The 24,488-nt window shown below is 34.7% G+C and overlaps 1 protein-coding gene and 1 long non-coding RNA gene across 6 annotated transcripts in view; one reads left to right on the top strand and one right to left on the bottom strand.

Moving 5' to 3' along the window:
• Positions 1 to 439, top strand: part of LINC01202 (long intergenic non-protein coding RNA 1202) — a 90,735-nt gene extending 90,296 nt beyond the window's left edge. The window contains exon 3 of the long non-coding RNA NR_126372.1: positions 68 to 439. This is a non-coding gene — a long non-coding RNA (long intergenic non-protein coding RNA 1202). The remainder of the gene's footprint in view (positions 1 to 67) is intronic.
• GABRA1 (gamma-aminobutyric acid type A receptor subunit alpha1) overlaps positions 10,930 to 24,488 on the bottom strand; it is a 52,781-nt gene continuing 39,222 nt past the window's right edge. For 4 of the 5 annotated variants that reach the window (NM_001127643.2, NM_001127644.2, NM_001127645.2 and 1 more), the window contains 3 exons: positions 19,851 to 20,003; positions 15,033 to 15,235; positions 10,930 to 13,790 (listed from right to left, as the gene is read on the bottom strand). In NM_001127643.2, the coding sequence (NP_001121115.1) occupies positions 13,479 to 13,790; positions 15,033 to 15,235; positions 19,851 to 20,003 (668 nt within the window). In that variant the 3' untranslated portion in view covers positions 10,930 to 13,478. The remainder of the gene's footprint in view (positions 13,791 to 15,032; positions 15,236 to 19,850; positions 20,004 to 24,488) is intronic. The other variant, NM_000806.5, reaches the window with a different exon arrangement.

The raw sequence follows: 24,488 nt of genomic DNA, 5'->3' as shown, positions 1-24,488 counted from the left end.
TTGCTTTAACAGTTTGAATTGGAGAACAGTTTTAGTATATTATGTTTTGTCATTTCTATTTTTGCAGGGGCCATAAAGAAAATTGATGAGGACAACTGGCCTCCCAGTATGTGGATTCAGTTTCCATATGTCAATTTACCAACTCCCACTGGTAGTCTGAAGAGATATGGCTACTGGAGAACAGAAAATCACCAGTATTAATAAAAGCAATTTTAAGTGTTTACCTTTTAGTATTTGAATAGCTTTGTTAAAGAGACGTACTCAAGAATACTATGAAGAGACTCTTATTGTACTCCTTACCTGGAGATAATTGTGATGCCAGAAATTCAAATTTATATTCAACAATATGGTTTTTCAACCATCAATATTATAAACATCTAGGCAGTGTCTATTGTTTGCGCATTTGCCATCCTCTAAAATGAGATTATTCTAAGCATAAATTATACTTCATCATTCAAGATTATAAACATTTATAATAATCATAATATTCACAGACATTTCCCTGCTCTCAAATCACTAGAGCTAATAGGCAAAGTAGATACAGCTACAAACAGTGGGAGAAAATATTTCTGGCTGACCTACAAATAGCTGTGCAATAATGTAGAGAGGAAAATATAGTCTCACTTACAGTGTCTGAAATTGAGTTTCCCTCTTTAAAGGACAAAGTAATTTTCAAAAATATTTGAGTATTATTCTGTGTAAAAAATCTCTGTTTTAACTGGCTTATTGAATTGTATTTCTTTATTGTGTTTGTATTCACTTTTCCATTTGTGGGTGGAATTTATTATAATTACCAGTTTTATACTGAATGAAACAAAAATCTCATAGATTTAATAAAACTTTAAATTCCTTGTCATTAATAATAAAATGTATATGCTTTCTCTAATAAGTCCATACTTTATTGTTTAAAACCTGTTTTTCCTCTTTCTCAAGCACATGGATTGTTAATTTAAATTCTGAAATAAAGCCAATTAATCCATAAACATGGACTGTGGATAATGTCGATATTACATGTAAATTTCTCAGTGTGTGTTTCGTGGACCCAATAGCATCAGCATTAGCTGGGGACTTACGAGGTGGCCTGTGCCTGTAGTCCCAGCTACTCAGGAGGCTGAGGCAGGAGAATCGCTTGAACCTGGGAGGTGGAGGTTGGAGTGACCGAGATCGTGCCACTGCACTCCAGCCTGGGCAAAAGAGCAAGACTCTGTCTTAAAAATAATAATAAAAATCAAATAAAATAAAATTTGCAAATGTATCCCACCCCAGGCCTATTGAAACAAAAAGTCTGTTGGTACGGTTTAGCAATATGTCTTTCAACAAGCCCTTCTGGGCAACTCTAATGCATGCTGAAGTTTGAGAACCACTGGTCTGTGGCTTTCCAGGATACTCAGGTGCTGTATTATCTTATTGCCTACAGGGAATACCTTTGTTCAAGTGTGGAAGTATGCACACAGTGTGTAAGGAGGTGGGTTGAATCTTTCTACAAATGTTTTAAGTAAGTCACCTGCCTCATATATGTGGACTAGATTATTTAGATATTTGGATCCATACTGACCCTTAACCCTACTTCTGATTTACAGATAAGAATTCCCTACCCTATTTTATTATGTGTTATGTTTGGCCCATTGGTAATTTTTTTTCTCTCCTTAGACTCAATTTTAAATATTTGTTGCAATCTAAAAATGGAGGCCTTATCTTAATAGTTTATTTAATTTTGCAAGATATACTATAGGACAGGAAGTATGCCTGATTCTTTTACATAAATTTGATATCAGTGATGCTTCAAAACAGTTCTTCACGTTAACTATCATTATTTTTGTAGCTTTAATGCGTTAAAACTTACTCAGTATAAAAGCCACCTACTTAAAATGTACAACTCAAAAATTTCCAGTAAATTAATAAAGTTGTGAAGCCATGACCACAGTGCAATTTTAACACATTTCCATTGTGCCAAAAAGATCCCTCATGCTCAATTCCAACCAGTTCCCACTGCCACCCCCAGTATCAGACACGACAATCTGCTGTCTCTACATTTCAGGACATTTAGTGTAAATACAATTATACAATATGTGGTCTTTGTGTCTGGCTTCTTTCACTTATTATGTTTTTGAAGTTTATCCATGTAGCTTGTATCAAGCTTTTGTTCCTTCTTTTTTGTTGAATAACATTTTATTTATCCATTAATTAATGTACAGACATTTGGGATGTTTTCAGTTTTAGGTTCTTATGAATAATGTATCTATGAATATTTACATACAATTCTGTAAGAATACATAATTTTTAATTTGTTTGAATAGTAGAGCTGTTGAGATATATCATAAGTTTATGTCTAACTTCATAAGAAATTGCCAAACCATTTTCCAAGGTGGCTGTACATTCTCACCAGCAATGTATATATGTTTCAATTTCTCCACATTGTCTTCAACACTTTCTATAGTCTATCATTTGATTATAGCCATTCTATGGATATAAAGTTATCATGGTGGCTTTAATTTGCATTTTCCTAATGACTAATGGTAATGAACATTTCATAGGTTCATTAGTCATTTGCTTATACCTACTTAAATATTTAGCCTATTTTTACTCGGGAGGCGGAGCTTGCAGAGAGCGGAGATCGGGCCACTGCCTTCCAGCCTGGGCGACAGAGCCAGACTCTGTCTCAAAAACAAAAAACAAATAAATATTTAGCCTATTTTTAGAATGGGTTGTTGTTTTTCTCATTATATAGTTCTATAAGTTATTTATGCAGCTTGGATAAATGTTCATTATCAGATATAATTTTTACAAATATTTTCTATCAGATTGTGTTATTTTTAATTTTCTAATGTGGTCTTTAGAAGCACCAGAGTTCTTAATTTTGATAAAGTGTAATTTAACCATGACCATTCTTTTATAGATTTTGATTTTAGTGTGTCCAAAAACTGTTGGCTAACCCCAAATCATGAAGATTTCCCTTCCTGTTTTCTTCTGGAAAGTTTATAGTTTGGGTGCTTATATTTGGATCTATGATTTAATTTGACTTATTTTTGTATATGCTGCCAGGTGACAGTCTATTTGCTTTCTGTGTGTCTAATTCTTTTGTAATCTTCTAGTCTTGTTTTATTATTTCTTGTGGGTTAAGTAGAATTTTTCTAGTGTACTATTTTTAATTCCTTTGATGTTTTCTTGTTTCATTGTTTTGAATAGTTTTGTGTTTAATATTTTAAGTTATATCCTTTTTAAAAGTTATTTTTAATAGAAATAAAATTGTATATACTTATCATGTACAGTATGTTGTTTTTTGAAAGATGTATATATTGTGGATATGTATACAATGGCTAAATCGAGCTAATTAACATAGGTGTTACCTCACATATCACTTTTTGTGGTAAGAATATTTAAAACTCCTCACTGCATTTTTTCAAGAATACAATACACTGTTATTAACTATTGTCACCACATTTTACAACAAATCTCTTCAATTGATTTTTTCTAACTGAAATTTTATATTCACTTGGCCAACATCTCCCCAACCACACCCACCTCCCCAGCTCCTGGTAATCATCATTCCCCCTCTCCTTCGATAAGTTCAGCTCTTGTAGGTTTCACATACAAGTGAGATCATGTGGTATTTGTCTTTCTGTGCCTGGCTTATTTCATGTAACACAATGTTCTCCAGGATCATTGATGTTTTCATAAATGAAAAAATTTCCTTTTAAGAAAAAGTAAAATACTATTCTAACATTGTATTTATGTCACATTTTCTTTATAAATTCACTTTTTGGTGTACACCTAGGTTGGTTAACATTATCTTTTAATAAAGGCTCTATTTCTTATCATCAACTGCATCTCCATCACCAAAGTGTCTGATAAGTGTCTAATCGTCCTTCAAATCCTAGCTTGAAGCATGGTAAGGCAGACTTTATTAAGCACTATCACAACAGTTGTAGGGACCACTGCCATGGGGTCTTGCAGTGGGAGTGAGAGGCTGGGCTCAACACTAAACATAGCATGGCTCAATGGGGGTTTGCAGCCAAGAAGCTGGATGGGGTCAGAGGATGGAAATTGCTAAAAGGAAGTATTGGGGGAAAGGGGAAGTCTTGCTAAGCCAGCTGGACTGGATTCAGGCCAGGGTGATCAGACCTGGGAGATGGTGGAGGTTTAGAAACCTGATAAGATAAGTCAAGGGTTGGAGTTCTTTACATTTACTTAGCAGTGTTCTTTGTTAATAAACTGATTTAGCAGTGTTCTTTGTTAAACCTAGTTCTTACAAGGAAGTGCACTGATGGGCCTAGAAGACGGCTCACTAACCTGATGACAATTTAGTCAAGCAAAGAATCTTTGTCAGCCCTCATCCTTGTTCAAGGAAAGAAGATACATTCTTGTTTCCTTCGAAAAATATGTCTATGTTCTTGTTGGGTTGTCTTTTGTTTATAAAGAACCAGTTGAGTCATCTGTTGGAACTTGGTAGTAGAGAATACTTTGATGGAAAAAAATAAAATTTAAATTTAAAAAATTGAAAAAAAATTAAAAATTTTTTGCTGAAGGAAACAGTACATCTCAGTGATAAATATCCCAAAGTATTACTGAGAATAAGACTGATTTTGTGGGAAAATTAAGCAATGTGTTCCAGTTTTTAAAACCTGGGTCTGAAATCTATGTTGAAAATTCTGTTTCTGGATCTAGTTTGAGGCACTAAGAAGGATAACATCAATTGTGCTAAAATTGAAGCAAGAACAAACATCAAATTTATGGTGAAGCTTGTGTGGAAGAATGGTGAAATCACTGATACATTACAGAAATTTTATGGGGACAATGTCCCAAAGAAATCAGTAGCACTTTACGAATGGATAACTATTTTTTATTATTATTATACTTTAAGTTCTAGGGTACATGTGCACAAGGCGCAGGTTTGTTACGTAGGTATACATGTGCCATTTTGGTTTTCTGCACCCATCAATTTCATTTACATTAGGTATTTCTCCTAATGCTATCCCTCCTCCAGCCCCCATCCCCCAACAGGCCACAGTGTGTGATGTTCCCCACCCTGTGCTCAAGTGTTCTCAATGTTTAGTTCCCACCTATGAGTGAGAACATGCAGTGTTTGGTTTTCTGTCCTTGTGATAGTTTGCTGAGAATGATGGTTTCCAGCTTCATCCGTGTCCCTGCAAAGGACATGAACTCATCCTATTTTATGGCTGCATATAATTCCATGGTGTATATGTGCCACATTTTCTTAATCCAGTAATTCATTGATGGACATTTGGGTGGGTTCCAAGTCTTTGCTATTGTGAATAGTGCTGCAGAAAACATACTTGTGCATGTGTCTTTATAGTAGCATGGTCCTTTGGGTATATATCCAGTAATGGGATCGCTGGGTCAAATGGTATTTATGGTTCTAGATCCCTGAGGAATCACCACACTGTCTTCCCCAATGGTTGAATTAATTTACACTCCCACCAACAGTGTAAAAACGTTCCTATTTCCCCACATCCTCTTCAGCATCATTTGTTTCCTGACTTTTTAATGATTGCCATTCTAACAAGCACGAGATGGTATTTCATTTTGATTTTGATTTGCATTTCTCTGATGACCCGTGATGGTGAGCATTTTTTCATGTGTCTGTTGGCTGCACAAATGCAGAAATAAAGATGTTCTTTGAAACCAGTGAGAACAAATACACAAAGTACCAGAATCTCTGGAACACATTTAAAGCAGTGCGTAGAGGGAAATTTATAGCACTAAATGCCCACAAGAGAAAGCAGGAAAGATCTAAAATCGACACCCTTACATCACAATTAAAAGAACTAGAGAAGCAAGAGCAAACACATTCAAAAGCTAGCAGAAGGCAAGAAATAAAAAAGATCAGAGCAGAACTGAAGGAGATAGAGACACACAAAAAAAACCCTTCAAAAAAATCAATGAATCCAGGAACTGGTTTTTTGAAAAGATCAACAAAATTGATAGACCACTAGCAAGACTAAAAAAGAAGAAAAGAGAGAAGAATCAAATAGATGCAATAAAAAATTTTAAAGGGAATATCACCACCATTCCCACAGAAATACAAACTACCTTCAGGGAATACTATAAACACCTCTACACAAATATAGTAGAAAATCTAGAAGAAATGGATACATTCCTGGACACATAAACCCTCCCAAGACTAAACCAGGAAGAAGTCGAATCTGTGAATAGACCAATAACCGGCTCTGAAATTGAGGCAATAATTAATATCCTACCAACCAAAAAAAGTCCAGGACCAGACAGATTCAGAGCCGAATTCGACCAGAGGTACAAAGAGGAGCTGGTACCATTCTTTCTGAAACTATTCCAATCAATAGAAAAAGAAGGAATCCTCCCTAACTCATTTTATGAGGCCAGCATCATCCTGATACCAAAGCCTGGCAGAGACACAACAGAAAAAGAAAATTTTAGACCAATATCCCTGATGAACATCGATGCAAAAATCCTCAATAAAATAGTGGCAAACCGAATCCAGCAGCACATCAAAAAACTTATCCACCACGATCAAGTCGGGTTCATCCCTGGAATGCAAGGCTGCCTCAATATACACAAATCAATAAACGTAATCCATCACATAAACAGAACCAACGACAAAAGCCACATGATTATCTCAATAGATGCAGAAAAGACCTTCCACAAAATTCAACAGCCTTCATGCTAAAAACTCTCAATAAACTAGGTATCGATGGAATGTATCTCAAAATAATAAGAGATATTTATGACAAACCCACAGCCAATATCATACTGAATGGGCAAAAACTGGAAGCATTCCCTTTGAAAACCAGGACAAGACAAGAATGCTCTCTCTCACTACTCCTATTCAACATAGTGTTGGAAGTTCTGGCCAAGACAATCAGGCAAGAGAAAGAAATAAAGGGTATTCAATCAGGAAAAGAGCAAGTCAAATTGTCTCTGTTCGCAGATGACGTGATTGTATATTTAGACAACCCCATGGTCTCAGCCCAAAATCTCCTTAAGCTGATAAGCAACGTCAGCAAAGTCTCAGGATACAAAATCAATGTGCAAAAATCACAAGCATTCCTATACACCAATAACAGAAAGAGAACCCAATCATGAGTGAACTTCCATTCACAATTGCTACAAAGAGAATAAAACACCTAGGAATCCAACTTACAAGGGATGTGAAGGACTCTTCAAGGAGAACTACAAACCACTGCTCAACAAAATAAAAGAAGACACAAACAAATGAAAGAATATTCCATGCTCATAGATAGGAAGAATCAATATCGTGAAAATGGCCATACTGCCCAAGGTAATTTGTAGATTCAATGCCATCCCCATCAAGCTACCAGTGACTTTCTTCACCGAATTGGAAAAAACTATTTTAAAGTTCATATGGAACCAAAAAAGAGCCCGCATAGCCAAGACAATCCTAAGCAAAAAGAACAAAGCGGGAGGCATCATGCTACCTGACTTCAAACAATAGTATAAGGCTACAGTAACCAAAACAGTATGGTACTGGTACCAAAACAGATATATAGACTAATGGAACAGAACAGAGGCCTCAGAAATAACACCACACATCTACAACCATCTGATCTTTAACAAACCTGACAAAAACAAGCAATAGGGAAAGGATTCCTTATTTAATAAATGGTGCTGGGAAAACTAGCTAGCCATCTGTAGGAAACTGAAACTGGATCCCTTCCTTACACCTTATACAAAAATTAACTCAAGATGGATTAAAGACTTAACATAAGACCTAAAACCATAAAAAGTAAAAGAAAACCTAGGCAATACCATTCAGGACATAGGCATGGGCAAAGACTCCATGACTAAAACACCAAAAGCAATGGCAACAAAACCCAAAATAGATCAATGGGATCTAATTAAACTAAAGAGCTTCTGCGCAGCAAAAGAAGCTACCATCAGCATGAACAGGCAACCTACAGAATGGGAGAAAATTTTCACAATCTACCCATCTGACAAAGGGCTAATATCCAGAATCTACAAATAACTTAAATACATTTACAAGAAAAAAACAAACAAGCCCATCAAAAAGTGGGCAAAGGATATGAATAGACACTTCATAAATGGATACCTATTTTTAAGAAGGGCCAAGATAATGTTGAAGATGAAGCCCACAGCAGCAAACCATCTACATCAACTTGCAAATTTTAAATTTTTAATCTTGTTCATGCTGTAATTGAAGACAACTAATAGCAGAACACACAGCAAACACCATAGACATTTCAACTGGTTCAGCTTACACAATTTTACTGAAAATCAAAGTTGAGCAAAGTTTCCACTTAATAGGTGCCAAAACTATTAAGCGCAGATCAGTTGCAGACAAGAGCAAACCTTTCAGTGGAAATTTAAATAAATGTGACCAAGCCTGAAGCATTTCTTCTAAGAATTGTAACAGAAGATGGAATGGGCTCTACCAGCACAATCCTGAAAACAATGCTACCAAGATATCAAAGTGGTCCAATCAAAGCAAAAGCGGACTGGTCAAAGGCAAAGGTCATGACAACAGTTTTTTTGTGATACTAAAAACAATGTGCTTGTTGACTTTCTGGAAGGCCAAGGAATGATAACATCTGCTTATATGGGAGTATTTTGAAAAAGTTAGCCAAAGCTTTTGCAGAAAAATGCCCAAGAAACCTTCATCAGAGAGTCCTTCTCCACCCCAACAATGCTGCTTGGGCATCTCGTCAAACTAGGGCAATTTTGCAAGAGTTTTGACTGGAAATCATTACAGTCCTGATTTATCTCTTTCTGACATTTTTTGTTTTCTGATCTTAACAATTTTTAAAAGACACTCATTTTCTTCACTTAATGTAAAAAATACTTCATTTACATGGTTATATTCCCAGGACCCTCAGTTATTTAGGAATGGACTGAATGTCTGGTATCATTGCTTACAGAAGTGTCTTGAATTGATGGAGCTTGTATTGAAAAAATAAAGTTTATATTCCTAAAGCAAAACAAAAGCTAGCTTGGCTAACACTTTCATTTAAAGACTTCCCTCATACCACTCCCCAGGTAAGTCTCCTACACTTGCACATTTTTCAGTAATTATATGTAATATAGGTAGTATTGTAATTTTAGATTCTTTCTGAATCTCTATGAACTTATGAGCTTTCCAAGATTATATTGTCATCTTCTTCTCTGCAAGCTCAGTATCTATCCCAGTAGCTAAAGGGATCTTAGAGGTTTCAAATGTTTGGTTTGTGGTTTAATGGCTAACAACTCACAAAACTGGCATTAGATCAGAAGTCCACTCATTCATAGTCCAGGTCCAGGATGGTTTCAATTCCTCTTATACTTCAAGTTTCAACTTGAACATCATTAGTTTCTACAAATCCAATTTGCTAGCCTTATGAAAAGTGGCAAGGCACTTCTTTTACATACTGGTTAGCATCCTCTACTTTATCATAATACTTATTTTATTATCTTTGTCTGATTGTTTTCCTTCCCCAACATAACCATTATTTTTGTAAGGAAAATGGCGATATTTACATCTACATCCCCATCATCAAGTACAGTATTTAGTACAGGGAAAAGACTCAGCCAATGTTAGTAGAATTTAGTTTAATTAAATTAAATCAACATTTGAAGTTAAACTATTTTGCTGGATTGTGGGTATAATATAGTCAAGTTAGATGTTTATTATTGTTGGTCATAAGAGCTGGATAGATTTCAGAAAAATCCAACAGAAGGTTATAACTAACTGGTACAATGAATTTCAAACAGATGGTCAGCAATAATGCCAAGCCCTTTCTTATTGTGATTTCTTTGATAATTATGTGGTGAGCCTTGACATGAATTTGGTTTGATAGACAAAATATTCATCATTCACCGCATTCTTTTTTATGAGAACCCAGAAATCAACAAATATGATGGTTCAGCTAGTTTACATTGACAGTTTTATTTGAATAAATAATTTAGTTGGAAAATTTTTTTTTTTTTTTTTTTTTTTTTTTGAGATGGAGTCTCGCTCTGTCGCCAAGGCTGGAGTGCAATGGCGTGATCTCGGCTCACTGCAAACTCCGCCTCCCGAGTTCAGGCCATTCCCCTGCCTCAGCCTCCCGAGTAGCTGGGACTACAGGCACCCACCACCACACCCAGCTAATTTTTTGTATTTTTAGTAGAGACCTGGTTTCACCGTGTTAGCCAGGATGGTCTGGATCTCCTGACCTCATGATCTGCCCACCTCGGCCTCCCAAAGTGCTGGGATTACAGGCGTGAGCCACTGCACCCAGCCGTCGGAGGATTTTTAATTGTGAGTTTTTATAAAGTTGTGAGTCATTACTAGGGAATATGTAGGTTTTATTTGTTGAAGGTACAATTTACGTTGTTCTGGCAAGACCATCATCTAAAGCAGAAATTTTGTCTCATGTGGTCTGGTGTGTAGAATCCAATTATGGTTTTATGTCTATCATTGAAATGATTTTTCTATTGTCTTGCATGTGATTATAAATATTTTTTACCTTGATGTGACTGATTACAGAAACCTTAAGGAATTTAAGTTAAAATGAAAAGTATTAACAATGTAACAACTTTGGCTACATACTGAGAGTCACCAGGATAGCTTATAAAACTACAGTGCTCAGATGCAACCTCAAAACAATTAAGTCAGAGTCTCAGGATTGAATGAAAAATGAGTTTCCTATGCTATCAATACATATGAACAAATTCCATTATCATTTCAGCATTTTCACTCTCTTATGTTTATATTTCATAAACTTCAAAGTGCTACTAGTAATACCAGAAACCTGGTGTTTAATTCATTTTTATATCATAAATAATTTTTTAAAAATCATAGTTTAGGATCATACTATTGACATTTTTTAGTATCTTTCTAGTGGCCTAGATTCCTGCTAGCACTTGGTACTTTCAGGTGCTTCTAATGTAAAAATGCATTAAAACAGAGCAATGAAAAGTCCTTTCAAAACATGAAAAGAGAGTCAAGTATTCCATTTTATTATTGAATAATGTTAGCTTTATTATTCAGTAGAATACAGTATGACATAAAATTAAGAGCTTTTGCTAAACTCTGTAAAGCAACACATGCATCTGCCATAAACAACCTTGATTCATGTTAGGTTTTATTGCCACTTCACTGCACTAAAGTGCAATAAACATTCAGTGTCATCTTTTAAAAAAGTTTCCTGGGAGTGAACAGGAACTGTCCCCTATAAGAGTGTATCTTTATTTTCAAGGAAGACTTAACTAGTACTACATGGTTTAGCAAAGCACTGTAGAAAAGCTACATATAATAATTTGTTTTTGATAAACTTTGCAATCATTTATACAGTAGAATACTATCCACATATACTAACAAACTGAGAAATGATAGAAATGCAGTCATTGCGTAGCAGGAAGCAGACTAATAAGAAATATTCACATCTAAGGAGCAAAATACAGACCAAAAGTTAGCCATGAGAAGTCTGGAAGGTAAAATGCTCTCAATAAACACATTAGTATAACGCCGAAAAATAACAAGATAAACAGCAACACAGAAGTTAGAGCCATAATTTATTTTATTTTCTATACATAATATCTACACATGATATTGGTGGATGAAATGTCTTTGATTCAGCCTTCATTGGCCTAGCTTGTGAAATTTAGGCAGGACCAAATCAAACAATGAAGCACATTTAAAAAGAAAAGTGTGTTTAGGAAAACACAATGTATTTTCCTATATCATTGGATAGCAGCTTTTTGAGAAAAACATTGCTCAAGACTTGGGTTTGGATCCCAACTGTCTTATTTGGCAATAATGCTAACAGATTTATGCTGTAGTATTCTAAGTGTGTTTAGACCGTGACTTGTGGATTCTGAGCACTAAATTTAAATATCTGTTAAACTCTATCAGACAAAAGGAGACTTCAAAAATACCTTCTGCATAAATATTTATCTCTAAAACATCTGGGCAGTAATGAAACAGACTAGAATTTTTATAAGGAAGTATTAATGGACCTCTTTTATTTAAAGCCCTTACATAGTATACCTACAAATATATTGCTACAGTATAAATGAAATGTAATATTACTCAATAAAAGCTATTTTCTGTACATTCTTTTATGTATTTTATATTTAATGCTACATATGGTACAACACTTATTGAAATAGTTGGTATTAGCAAATATAGCAATAATATACAGTTCATTTTCTAGCTCCAACTAATGCTTCCCATTTTCTTTCTATATTATAATAGCCTAAAATAGGGAAATGTGTGGAATGACTTGAACAGAGAGCAACTGATCACTGTATACTAGACAACAGTTTGGAAATTATAAGTTTTGTCTACATAAGTGGACTTCACACCCATATGTTTTAAGTTCCATGTGGTTCATACTTGCTGTTCTGTTCTTAAATGCAGGTTCTAAATGTATTTCCATAGCATTTAACAACATTCCAACAGCTAAGTGCAGTGATTCTTACACAATATTTTAAGAACACAATTTTAAAAAAGTAAAAAATGTACAATCTCATGCTGTATATTTACATATATCGTTTATATATTCTATTTTTGTTTGCTAGTCATAAATTTCAATCTAAAGCTTTTAATGTAGTTATATAAAAGAATACATTCAACAATTCCAGAGCTTGCAAAATATTTTTGCCCCTCTAAAAACATCTTCATAATGAGAATTAAGTGAGTGTTGGGCTCATGTGCTATCTGAAAATAGGGTGAAAAAGGGAATATTTTTAAACTATTTTAGTTTAGTTTCTATGGAGTATACATGTCTGTTAAAATTATTCTTCCTTGAGTCTAGTGGTAAAAGCTCAGATGAAAGTGAAGTAAACTATTTAAAGCATTTATCTTCATTGGACTAAATGTGCTCTACAATGAGCAACTGCACCTTTACGTATGAAAGTTCCATGAATTTTAAAATAGCATTTTATGACAAAATAATGCATTAGGCCTTTTTTTTTTTCAAAGAGAAAGAATGGGGATCTTCAGCTTTGGAAACAAAATGTTAAAGCTATACATCAGTTTAAAAAGCAAAACAAAAACATAAGCACACCATAGTTTGTGTAATAAAGACGTAGATTTTTAAAATTTTTTCTTCATGAAACATTTATAATTTACCCTTTGAAACACCTTCACATAAAAATATTTTTGACATATACAGTATCTTTTTTAGAATATTTGGAAATATATATCTACAAATGACCTAGGGGTTTTAGTTAAGTGTTATTTTTTTTTCTACTTTTTCTTGTATCTTTGAACCATCTTCCCCCTCTTTTCTCTCTCATTCTGTCTCCTTCTGACATGACTTTGCTCTTTCGCTTGCTCTGTCAGAATCCTGTCTCCAAGCTGCATAGTCTGCTTTGCTCCAGACTGCCAGACAGGGGTCTCTTGTTCTTAAATGAATTATGAAAATAAGGAAACTTTCAAATTCTTTAAGACAGAGGCAATAAAGCAGATGGGAATTACTGCGTTGAGAACATAAATAAATTCCCAGTGCAGAGGACTGAACAACAGAATGTGAGTAAAAGATCTATTGATGTGGTGTGGGGGCTTTTAGCTGAGGCTCTCTGTTTAAATACGTAGCCCAGTAGACTAAGTTAAAGATTCCAAATAGCAGCGGGAAGGCTATTCTTGACAGTCGGTCAATTTTGCTGACACTGTTAAAGGTTTTCTTGGGTTCTGGTGGTTTTGTTTCGGGCTTGACCTCTTTAGGTTCTATGGTTGCACTTTTAGCAATGGTGGCTAAGCCCGGGTCGCCCCTGGCCAAATTAGGGGTGTAGCTGGTTGCTGTTGGAGCGTAAGTGTTGTTTTTCTTAATAAGAGGATCCTTTACTTTCTTTGGCTGTAGAAAGAAAGAGCAATGCATTTTGTTTAGTAAACAGTGAGAAGCAAAATTATAAGTTGCTGAGCAAGGTGGCCCTTATTTTGCAGCCTAAATCTGTGCCTTATTTAGGAATTTAAAAACATAATTTATGCCTGTCTTATTATAATAAATTAAAAATGCAGGCAGTATTTAATAGCCTTTTGCCATCAAGAAGTACAACACCTTAGATTTTATTAAATAAGGTAGATGTTACCACTACAGAGGATTTTCTTATCTAATGCATTTGTTTAACTATGGGATAAACACAGTTAAGCCAGTTTATTTACTACAGAATTTCTTAGCCCCTTTAATATGCTGTGACCAGGAAATACAGTATGCAGCAATATTCAAGTGGGCATCAACAAAGAACTAAATTTTCAGAGAGTATCTTAAGAAACTAATATTCTATAGAATAAAGTTTCAGAAAAGCTTATGTCAAGTGACTCCTTCTAGATTATTTCTAAACATCTTAAAATCTCTTTGTCTCTGTCTTTGCTCTTCATCACAGCATCCCAAAGCTTACTTGCATTTTGTCACGCTTGTTCTTCAAACCCCACAAACACAGCTATCCTCCCAAGCTGTGACATAAAATCCATACTGTGTAATAGGTTCTAATTGAGAGAAGCAGCAGTATTCTTAACTTGAACATTTTCTACCATGAGGCATTTCTTGGTAATTTCTGTGTGTTATGATCCCTAAAGCATATGTCTATTTTGGAAAGAGAAAATGTGCCTGCCCTTGACTTTGCAGAGAACTAGGGATGGTTCATGTGGCAAACTTAATTTAATTGAGGCATTATGGTTATACATTTATGACCAAATGATTAGGCTCAGAAAACAACCAAAAGAATATAACTTTCAAGTTATAAAATTATAACGCACTTGGTAAATAAAGGATTTGACTAAGTTTATTTGCTCCTAATATCAGGTTCATTAAAACTGTTCTCAAATCAATAGAAACCACAGGAAAGCCTATTTGACTAGAAATGTTTGCCTTCCTGACTCTCCTTTATCTCCTCCACTTTGTACATCTATTCACCTAAATGACCTCTCCCTTTATCAATAACAAAATTATCATGGCACTTAATTGTTTACGACATAAGAAAAAAAGAATCCTTATTATTCTGCATACTCCATCCAATACCACAGGCCAAAACATCTCATTTCATAGGTTTAAAGAGACATAATATTGATGTACTACAGTGACCATTAAAGCATTTACCTTTTCTGGAACCACACTTTTGCCATCCCATGCATAACCTCTCTTAGTGAAATAGTTTACTGTGGCAAACTCAATCAGAGCTGAGAACACAAAGGCATAGCACACGGCAATAAACCAATCCATAGCTGTTGCATAAGCCACCTTAGGGAGGGAGTTTCTGGCACTGATGCTCAATGTTGTCATGGTGAGCACAGTTGTTACTCCTGTAAAGAAAAAAAAAAACATACATGATGCCAGTTCATACTGTGAAATTTCATCATGATGGGACAGCCTACTTGAACAAAAGGAAATCAACAGTATCATGACAGAATGTGGTTTCTAGACCATCTTATTTTGGTTTAGAATTGATGAGTCTTAATTTAACCCCAGTGTAGTCTGTGATTCATGGAATGGCAGCATTGAGGGGGATATCTTGTAGGAATAAATTGCTCTGCTATTGAGGTGCTCTTCAGAAGATAGTAAGCTCCTTTAAATTGGCGCTTTGAACATGGGTGTCCTGGGTAAAACAAGAAATAACATTCCTCACTGTACCTAGTTCTTGATATAGAAATCACAGATCTTCACTTGCCTGTGATCCACAGGTAACTTCTGGATACTCAGCTCTGTTTAATATTCTATGTACCCCAAATATGTAAACCAGAAAGTGAATGACTTTTTGATAATTTATAGATAATTGAACTATTCGGGGAAAATTGCCACTTTATTGACTCATGGTTTTACACTATCTTTCCTGATTCAAAAATAGCTACATTTTTAAAGAAATTCCTAAATCTGACATATATAGATAGAAACATGTGTGTCTCATATACATATAGACACACACTCACATATATATATATACACATATATATAATAATACATTTTATGTAACTTGCTAGAGAATACACAGCTAAGAAGTAGCAGTACCAACATCTGAACACCAGTTTTTCTGATTCGAATGTTAGAATCTTTTTTCTTTCTGATAAGACTGCCTCATCTTTCCTACTCTGCAAATCCATCCCTAGTGATTAAAATGCCCTCTATTCAAAAGAAGTTTTCAAGTTAGCCCATTTTAGTTTACTTACACAATTATATGTTAGTATGAGAAAGATGATACCCTCTAATGTTCATTTACCAAATACTATCAGCCTACTATTTGTAATGCACTATACTCAGTACAAAAGTATAATGCTGTCAGGTTCCCTTTAAACCATATAAAAATGTTAAAAAAACAGTCACAGTTACCCATTCAGGGTGGATCAGGCTACATATTGTAGAAATAATTCTGACTTCTTCCAGTGACTAGTCTCAATCCTACCACTTATTAGCTCTATGACCTCTGCTAAGTGATTTAACCTGTAGGAACTCTGTGCCCATATCTGTAAAAGGGATGACTTGTTTTTCATTCTCTCCACTGTCTATACCATTGTTGAAATTCTAGGAGAAGGACATTTTTGCTCACTCACTCAAAAGACTATCATGAGGATTAAATGCAATGACTTGTAAATTCAGGCTCCTGAATTTACATGTCAGTATTAACTTGAGCAAATATTAGGGTAATTGAAAGTCCAGGGCAACCGAGTTTCAAATCCCTGTTCTATAACTGCTGAATGACGTTGAGAAAATTGACTTAAAATCACGAGCTTCTGGGGTTTATAAAATTTTTTTCTTGTAAGTTGATTTAATAAGTTTAACTCAGAAGGCTATCATGAATATTAAGTAAGGTAATGCAATGAAGTGTTTAGCTCTTAGCCTGATAATAAGGGCAAAACTAATGACTATTATAATTGACAACTTTAGTCCTTTTTGATAAATCCCTACTACAATAAATTCAATTTTTTTAAAAAAATCTTGGTTTATGTAGTCAGTTCTCAGAAGTAATGTGGTAACGGGTATTTTTAAACCAAATGTGTCCATAAATTAAGAGCAGTTGAGAAGATTAACATGAAGATACAATTTGTGCCATAGGAAAATACAATTCCTGTTATAGGAAAAGAGAAAAGAACACAGATTTGTTGAACAGCTTTTAAGTTACAAGTATGGAACCTGACAATGTATATTTTTTTTATTTGCTAAATTTTTAAAAAACAGCATTACTTTACTTTCCTTGTACTTTCATTTAACAGACAACTGAAGCTCCATAAGAGGAAGTAAATTTGCCAATGCCATGCAGCTGGTAGGTGGCGAGACTGAATCTCAAACTTGGATGTATTTGGCAGCAAAATTAAGTGACCACACTGCCTCCAGATGAGAGACAGCATGGAAAACCAAGAATATGGTCTTCTAAGGCACAAGATAGACTGCAACCTTCTTTCATTCTGGATGTCTTTTAATAAATGGTTATAAAGTACAACTTTTGTTTGTTTGTTTGGTTCTTTTGTTTTTTTCTTTTTGAATCTACATGATCCTTTTAGGCTTCTCACAGAGCTCAGAAAAAAAAATGTGCTGAGTTCAAACTAAAAAGCATAGAAACATGTGTACAAAATAAATGTTAAAAGGTTAAAAGTCTAGAAAATTGTATTTGTGATTCTAGTGAACTTAAAATATTAGAAACATAAAACTTGAAACACAAAAATACTTGTCACAACTAAGTTTACAGACATATAGTTATGTTCATCAAAGGCCATGAGTCTGTTGAGATATAAGATTGCTGAAAAAGTTAAGAGCAATGTTTTTTGACATACACCATCTGAAATGCTGTAAATAATTTTCAAATCAAAAGAGTAGAATTCGTTGGTGTGGGAAGGGGTAAATCACCTTTTAAAGGAACCTTTTCCAATATAGTGTTGTACTCATACTACAAAAATAAAATAAAACATAAATATGTCCTGTGTTTATTTTATTATTATTATTATTATTATTATTATTATTATTATTATTTTTTTGAGAAGGAGTCTCGCTCTGTTGCTCCAGGCTGGAGTGCAGTGGCACGATCTTGGCTCACTGCTAGCTGCACCTCCAGGGTTCAAGCCATTCTCCTGCCTCAGCCTCCCGAGTAGCTGAGACTACAGGCACCCACCACTACACCCAGCTAATTTTTTGTATTTTTAGTAGAGACGGGGTTTCACCATGTTGGCCAGGATGGTCTCGATCTCCTGACCTCGTGATCCACCCGCCTCGGCCTCCCAAAGTGCTGGGATTACAGACGTGGGCCCCGTGCCCGGCCTGTCCTGTGTTTTTTGTTTGTTTTTGTTTGTTTGTTTGTTTGTTTGTTTGTTTTAATTTCCTAGTGAGAAAAAGGCATACTCATACAGATATAAGCATCTTAACAAGACTTCGTCTTTAGTGAGTTCATTGCTAATTAATATCGACACGTGGTAATGGGAAAGAATGAGTATGCAATGAACTGCTCTTTTGTTCTGCAGCTGCAATTATTCTGAATATTAATTTAGCTATATGCTTAGGCAATTGTCGGAGCAATGATTTGGTGTTTGCCAATCTAGAAGCATATTGCCAAGTTCAGAAGAAAATACACGTTTCTGGTACTTGTAGCAGAGTCTTGCTTTTTTTCTGAGATAACTGATTTTTCATACACTACATATTATTGAAAAATGATACCATAGGAATCTCTTCAGGTGAATAATCCTCAGTTTAGACTATAAGCTTCTTAAGGCTTTTATCCTTTAGCACAGCTCTTAAAAACAGCAGGTGCCTAGTTGATATTTGTGGAATGAACCTTGATAATTGCACCTCTCACCAATAAATACGTAGTGGTGATTTCCAAATGAAGTTAACCACAATACTCCCATTTCAATTATTTTCATTGCAGCAGGATAGCTCAGAGGTGACGATACAGCATTGTCATTAGGCGAACAGACTCCAGAGCTAAATGCTAGGGTCTTCGTCCTGGCTCCATCTAATAGCTTCTAACTATGGGCAGATTACTTAATCTGTTGTTCCTTAGATTTCACTTTTAAAAATGGAAATAATAATAGTAGATAGAATTTGTTTTATAGTTAAGTAATACAGGCTAATTGTATAGAATAGCGCCTAGTATAAAAGCATTTGATTTTATGATTACTCAATTTTAAGCTTCAGAATGCAATTTTCATAACGAGAGTGGTGATTTGTGTTCAGTTCACTACTGCTTTCTGTGTCTAGAAGATATTGTATTGGAATCTTTCATTTTTATCAGCCTGAAAAATACAGTTGAAATAGTATACGGGGATATAGGCAGGAAATACCTTTTTATATCAAATGCACCCTCTAAAATAATACATGAGGAAATAAGTTTTCCTATTTGTAAAAGGTTGTTTACCCTTTAAACAATACTCAATTAGATTTCTTAACTTGAAGCATGTAGGTCATTAAAAATATTGTAATAGAAAAAATGAATGCATGTAACTCTACAGAAGTGCACACATCAGGTAAAGTGACTTATTCCTGTAGTGATATGGTGGTCATTAATTGGCTCTCCCTACTTAAAGAAGCTCTGCTTTTTATAAATGTAAATAAGTAGCTCTGCTGATATTTTCTAAGCTTCTCGAACAACTCAGTGATTCATGTTATATATTCTAAATATATTGTTTAAATATTAAGTTTTTATTTATGAGTTTTTAATATTATGCATTTTATGCCTGCTTCACTTCATTTTTACCTCAAAATATCAAATCAAATATTCATTAATGCCATCTATTCACAAATACTAAAACAGCTTGCTAGTTAAATAGTTTTAAAAAATATATACCATAATGAGAGTGGCAATTCCTTGAAACTTTCTGTTATATGAACTTAATATTTGAGTGTATATTTTTTTTTATTTCTCTTTGCAGTGTCACAGATATGACATAACTTGTCTTCCATACCCTTCCTTGCGTATGTATCTTGATTGGGACTTACCAAAGACAGTTCTTGCTGGTACAGACTCTCTGTTGAGCCAGAAGGAGACTTGTGAGAGAATCACTGTCATTATGCATGGCAGGTATGTTTGAATAACAAAGTAGCCAATCTTTCTCTTCAAGTGGAAATGAGTGGTCATAACAACATATTCTCCTGAGAAGTAAAACACACAAGAAAGATGAGCAATTTGACTTTAGAAAAAGGTAATCTCTGAGGTTTACTATGAGTACCAAAGGTCTGGGAATTAGACACATCCTTTCTCCATGTGACATCCAGTTCTTGGAGGGAAAAGTTTTTATCCAGAAAATAAAAGAGACATACTTAACACACAGTAAAATGACTCTGAGGATGAGACTGAGGTGCCAGAGTCTTTAAAGATATTCTTACCTCTTAATTCAAATACATCACATATTGGAGGAACAAATCTGAGTTTATATTTAAGGATTGGCTTTCCAATCCTTAAATTGACTGAGAAGGCAATATGCTAAACCCTGTGACATAGACCAATGGGTCAGAAACAGATCAGATCTCCAGTGTGTCCATTACAGAGCATATCCACAATACCTACTGAAGAAGCTTTGGCGTGTACATCAGGACAGTTTAATTTTAGCTCCAAAACTGCATTAAATATCTCTTTGACATCAGAAGAGTAATTTAGCATGGCCTGATCTACAAAATAAGGAGAGTGGGCTAGAATCTTTTGTTTCTCAAAATTTATTTTCCAGGATCACCTGGGAAACTTTTGAAGAATGCAGTTCTTCAAATCCCAACTAGATTTACAAACCATTCTTTGAAAGGTCAGGAAAATCTGTATTAATAACCAGATTTTGAGTTTGTCCCAATTCCTAGATTGATCTGGGAAACAGTGGTCTAGTTAGGTGCTCTCCAAGGTCCTTAAACACTTCAAATTCTGACTTCAGTTAGAGGTATAAAGCAGTAGACACACAACCCAAATTGCAGGAGAGTCTTATTGTTTCTCTTTTTGCCTTATACTTTCTCAGTTAAAAATCTTAGGATTGTTTAGCCTTATTCACTCAAAATATAGGGTTAATATAGGCTGTAGTCACATCTTAACTCCAATTTTTCCTAAATTTTGATGTAGAGTGATCTTTCACATGTGCGATTCTGCCACTCTTTTTTTTTAACTTAAAATATCTTAATGGAGACTGATTAGCAGCATTAGGCTTTCTCAACCTCAGCACTATTGACATTTTTGAACAGATAATCATTTATTGAAGGTGGCTGTCCTATATATTGCAGAATGTTTAGCAGCATTCCTGGACTCTACTTACTAGAGGCCAGTAGCAAACAGCTGCCCCTCTCTTGTGTGACAATATAAAGTGACTCAAGCTCTACAAAGTAACAAGCAAACTTCCTAATCTGTATTTAAGAGTATGCATAGCATAGTTCTAATATGCACTGAATTCTCTTGTCTCTTCGAATATTTCAACATCTCAATATATTGGCCTACAAAACTCTACCTATCTTCTGCAGCTGAATATTTTGCTCATCTATAGGTTGGTTCCAGCCCAAGTACCAGGTCCTCAGTGGAATAGAAATTATTGTCCTATGGAAGAAAATGTATTAATATTTGGAAGCAAATGAATTTGACTTCAAAACCCAGATCTGCTATTTTCTTGCCGTGTAGCTTTTGATAAGTCACTTAAACTCTCTTACCCTTAGTATTCTTGTCTACAAAATAGTCAGAAGCACAATATGGGGATAATAAAGAAGAATGGCTCTAATTAAGATGATACTATGTAACCACATTATAATGTTAAAATAAATTTAATTTGTTTCTCCATTTTCTTCACACTTCTCCTCAATCAGAACTGGTAGAAGTGTTGGTAGAATAACACATCCTGCTTTCTGTAGCAGGAAATTATCTACGCACTTATGCCTGCTTTCATTATTAACTGTTATTGATAATAGCACCTGCCCTTTACTAAACACTTACTGTGTTCAACTTTATATCTCTTGTATATATTTATAATATATCATACTTTGCATTTTAGTTATTTAACTACATACATATATTCCTCCCACCAAACTGAAAGTTAATTAAAAGAAGAATAGTTATTTGGTTATGTAGCATGACCGGCCATATCCTCAGTATTTAATACCTTCATATAGTGAAAATGGATGCACTGAGGCTCACGGTCACTCAATCAAAACAAAATTCATAAGAATCTTTCTTTTAAAGGACAAATGGAATGTTACCAGATTAATTTCTTATTATTTTCTGTGTGTTCCTCTAGTGATATCTTTAAGGTCATTTGAAAAGAAGAAAGTGATCCAAATTTAAGAAAAATGTAGAAAAACAATTTTCCCAAAACACTACTAAAATATAGTCTCATGTGGACATACCCATGCTACACTTCACCATCTCAGGGGCATGCATTATTATTCCTAACAATTCATTCAACTGCAGCCTGCAAAATGTCACCAGCTCAAAGAAAAAAATTCATCTGTATATAATGTCAGAAAAATGAGTGTCTGTATACATTCCATTATCTTTTGTTGTTCTCAACATGACATTTTTGCAAAGATCCTGAAAAGAATATAATTTTTGGAGATCTGAAGAGCTATTATTTGACATTATATTTGTTTTATAAACAACTTTTTCCCTAACAGATTTTCCCTAACAGAAGAAATTCCAATGTTTTGAAACCTTTTCCTAAATTAAATACAATTTTAAGAGTGTTGGCACAAACTTTCAAATAAGGAAGAAAAGGGAAGCAACATCAGAATCATGTTGTAATAGCTTTAAAATGAAAGAAAAACACAACAAAAACAAAAAACCAAGTCACCTAAATTGGATTGAAATAATACGTCTAGACATCAAGTGCTTATGCACAAAGCATGTCAAATTATTTTCCCTCCTTCAACAGTCTAGGGGAATTGTCATTCAAATATTCTTGCAGTTTATTTAACCCTGAAGGAAGCTTGCAAATTAGATGTGACAATATTTCTGATATATTGCAAAACAAAATTAAGGAGAGTGGAAGAAAAGCAACTAATATAATTTTTCAAAACAGCATTAAAGATTTGTTTAGACCTGGCTTTCAATCTTTGCCTTCTCAAATATTAGTTACTTGGAGGTAAATACCTTGCATAGGTTCATTTGGCTACAGTTTCCCGATTTGTCCAATTAATATAATAGTTTTTAATTTAACTGTCTCCTAGGAGGATGTGAGGATAAAATTACATAATCTGAGTGAAAGCACTTTTTAAAAACTCTATTTCTATGGACATTTACAGTATGAAGATTAAAAACACAGACATGCATTCTCTCTCTAAGTCAGAGATCAACCACTTGGTCATTCAACAAAATTGTATTGAACATTGATTCCTTGTGAAGCTGTCATTTTCCTTCCAAGTATTCTAAACTTGGTGTTTTCTATGGATACTAATATTGCAAAAGGAATTTTCTATCAAAAATGTTATTGAGAAAGTGGTGGTTATGTTTTTTAATTGCTTCAGAGATTCTAAATAGAGATAAGGGGACACTCATTATAGTTCTAGATCATTTAGCCTCTCTGGGACCATGTCTTCATTTGAAATATAAATGGTTTGACCAAATGACCACAGAAGTCTTTTTTTTTTCCCAGGACTTACATTCTATAGTTATAATTATTTCTCTGGAGACCATGTACTAGGCTTCATAAATGGAAGCCCCTAGGCTCTTTGGATGAATGATGATCACCAATGTTACTCCATAGTCAAAGAAGACTGTTGCTTTTCTTATTATCTTGACCCTTCTGGGTCATGATTACATCAACTCATGCAGAGACGACTCTGTGTCCAAAAAAGAGAATACTACAATGTTTCTTAGTCATCTCTTTTAAGGATTAACAATAGTCATTCAGAAGAAACTTTCTTTTTCACCAAACTTATCAAATTTTCTTATAATCAAATTTATTTAGGTAAATATGGAGAACTTGCAGTCATCACTGTGTGTTTTTAAAACATTGCATGGCATTACATTATTAATGTTTTCTGGACACTGATATTGTTATGCTTCGTGATCAATTTCATTATTTTGTTTTTCTTTATAAGTTATATTTCATGGCCTTAAGTCACTGTAGTAATTTTTGCATGGGCTGTCCTTGAAGACTTACTTAGAAAGCATAATGTGGTGAGGGTGGGAAGAGACAAGGGGTTATGCCACCCTTGACACATCAAGTAGAAATGACCCCCTTCCTCCTTTATGCCATCATGTAGTTCCCTTACACTAGCTTTACTATTAGTATTATTTTTATTATTATTATTTTGAGACAGGGTCTCACTCTGTCACCCAGGTTGGAGTGCAGTGGTGTAGTCTCGACTCAGTGAAGCTTCTACCTCCCTGGGTTCAGGTGATCCTCCCATCTTGGCCTCCCAAGTGGCTGGGACTACAAACATGCAACACCATGGCCAGCTAATTTTTTAATTTTTTGTAGAGATGGGGTTTCTCCACATTTCCCAGGCTGGTTTGGAACACCTGGTCTCAAGTGATCTGATCTGCTTGTCTCAGCCTCCCAAAGTGCTGAGATTACAGGCATGACTCACTGCACCCAGGCCTACTCTTATTATTAATAGTAATATCGGACACTTACTGCATACATTTTACAAACCAGATACTCTTCTAGGCAGTTT

The sequence above is a fragment of the Homo sapiens genome, chromosome 5 (assembly GCF_000001405.40).
Source record: "Homo sapiens chromosome 5, GRCh38.p14 Primary Assembly".
NCBI classification, from domain to species: domain Eukaryota; kingdom Metazoa; phylum Chordata; class Mammalia; order Primates; family Hominidae; genus Homo; species Homo sapiens.
The sequence above is the reverse complement of the archived record's forward strand: the minus strand, read 5'-3'. Positions and strand labels throughout refer to the sequence as shown.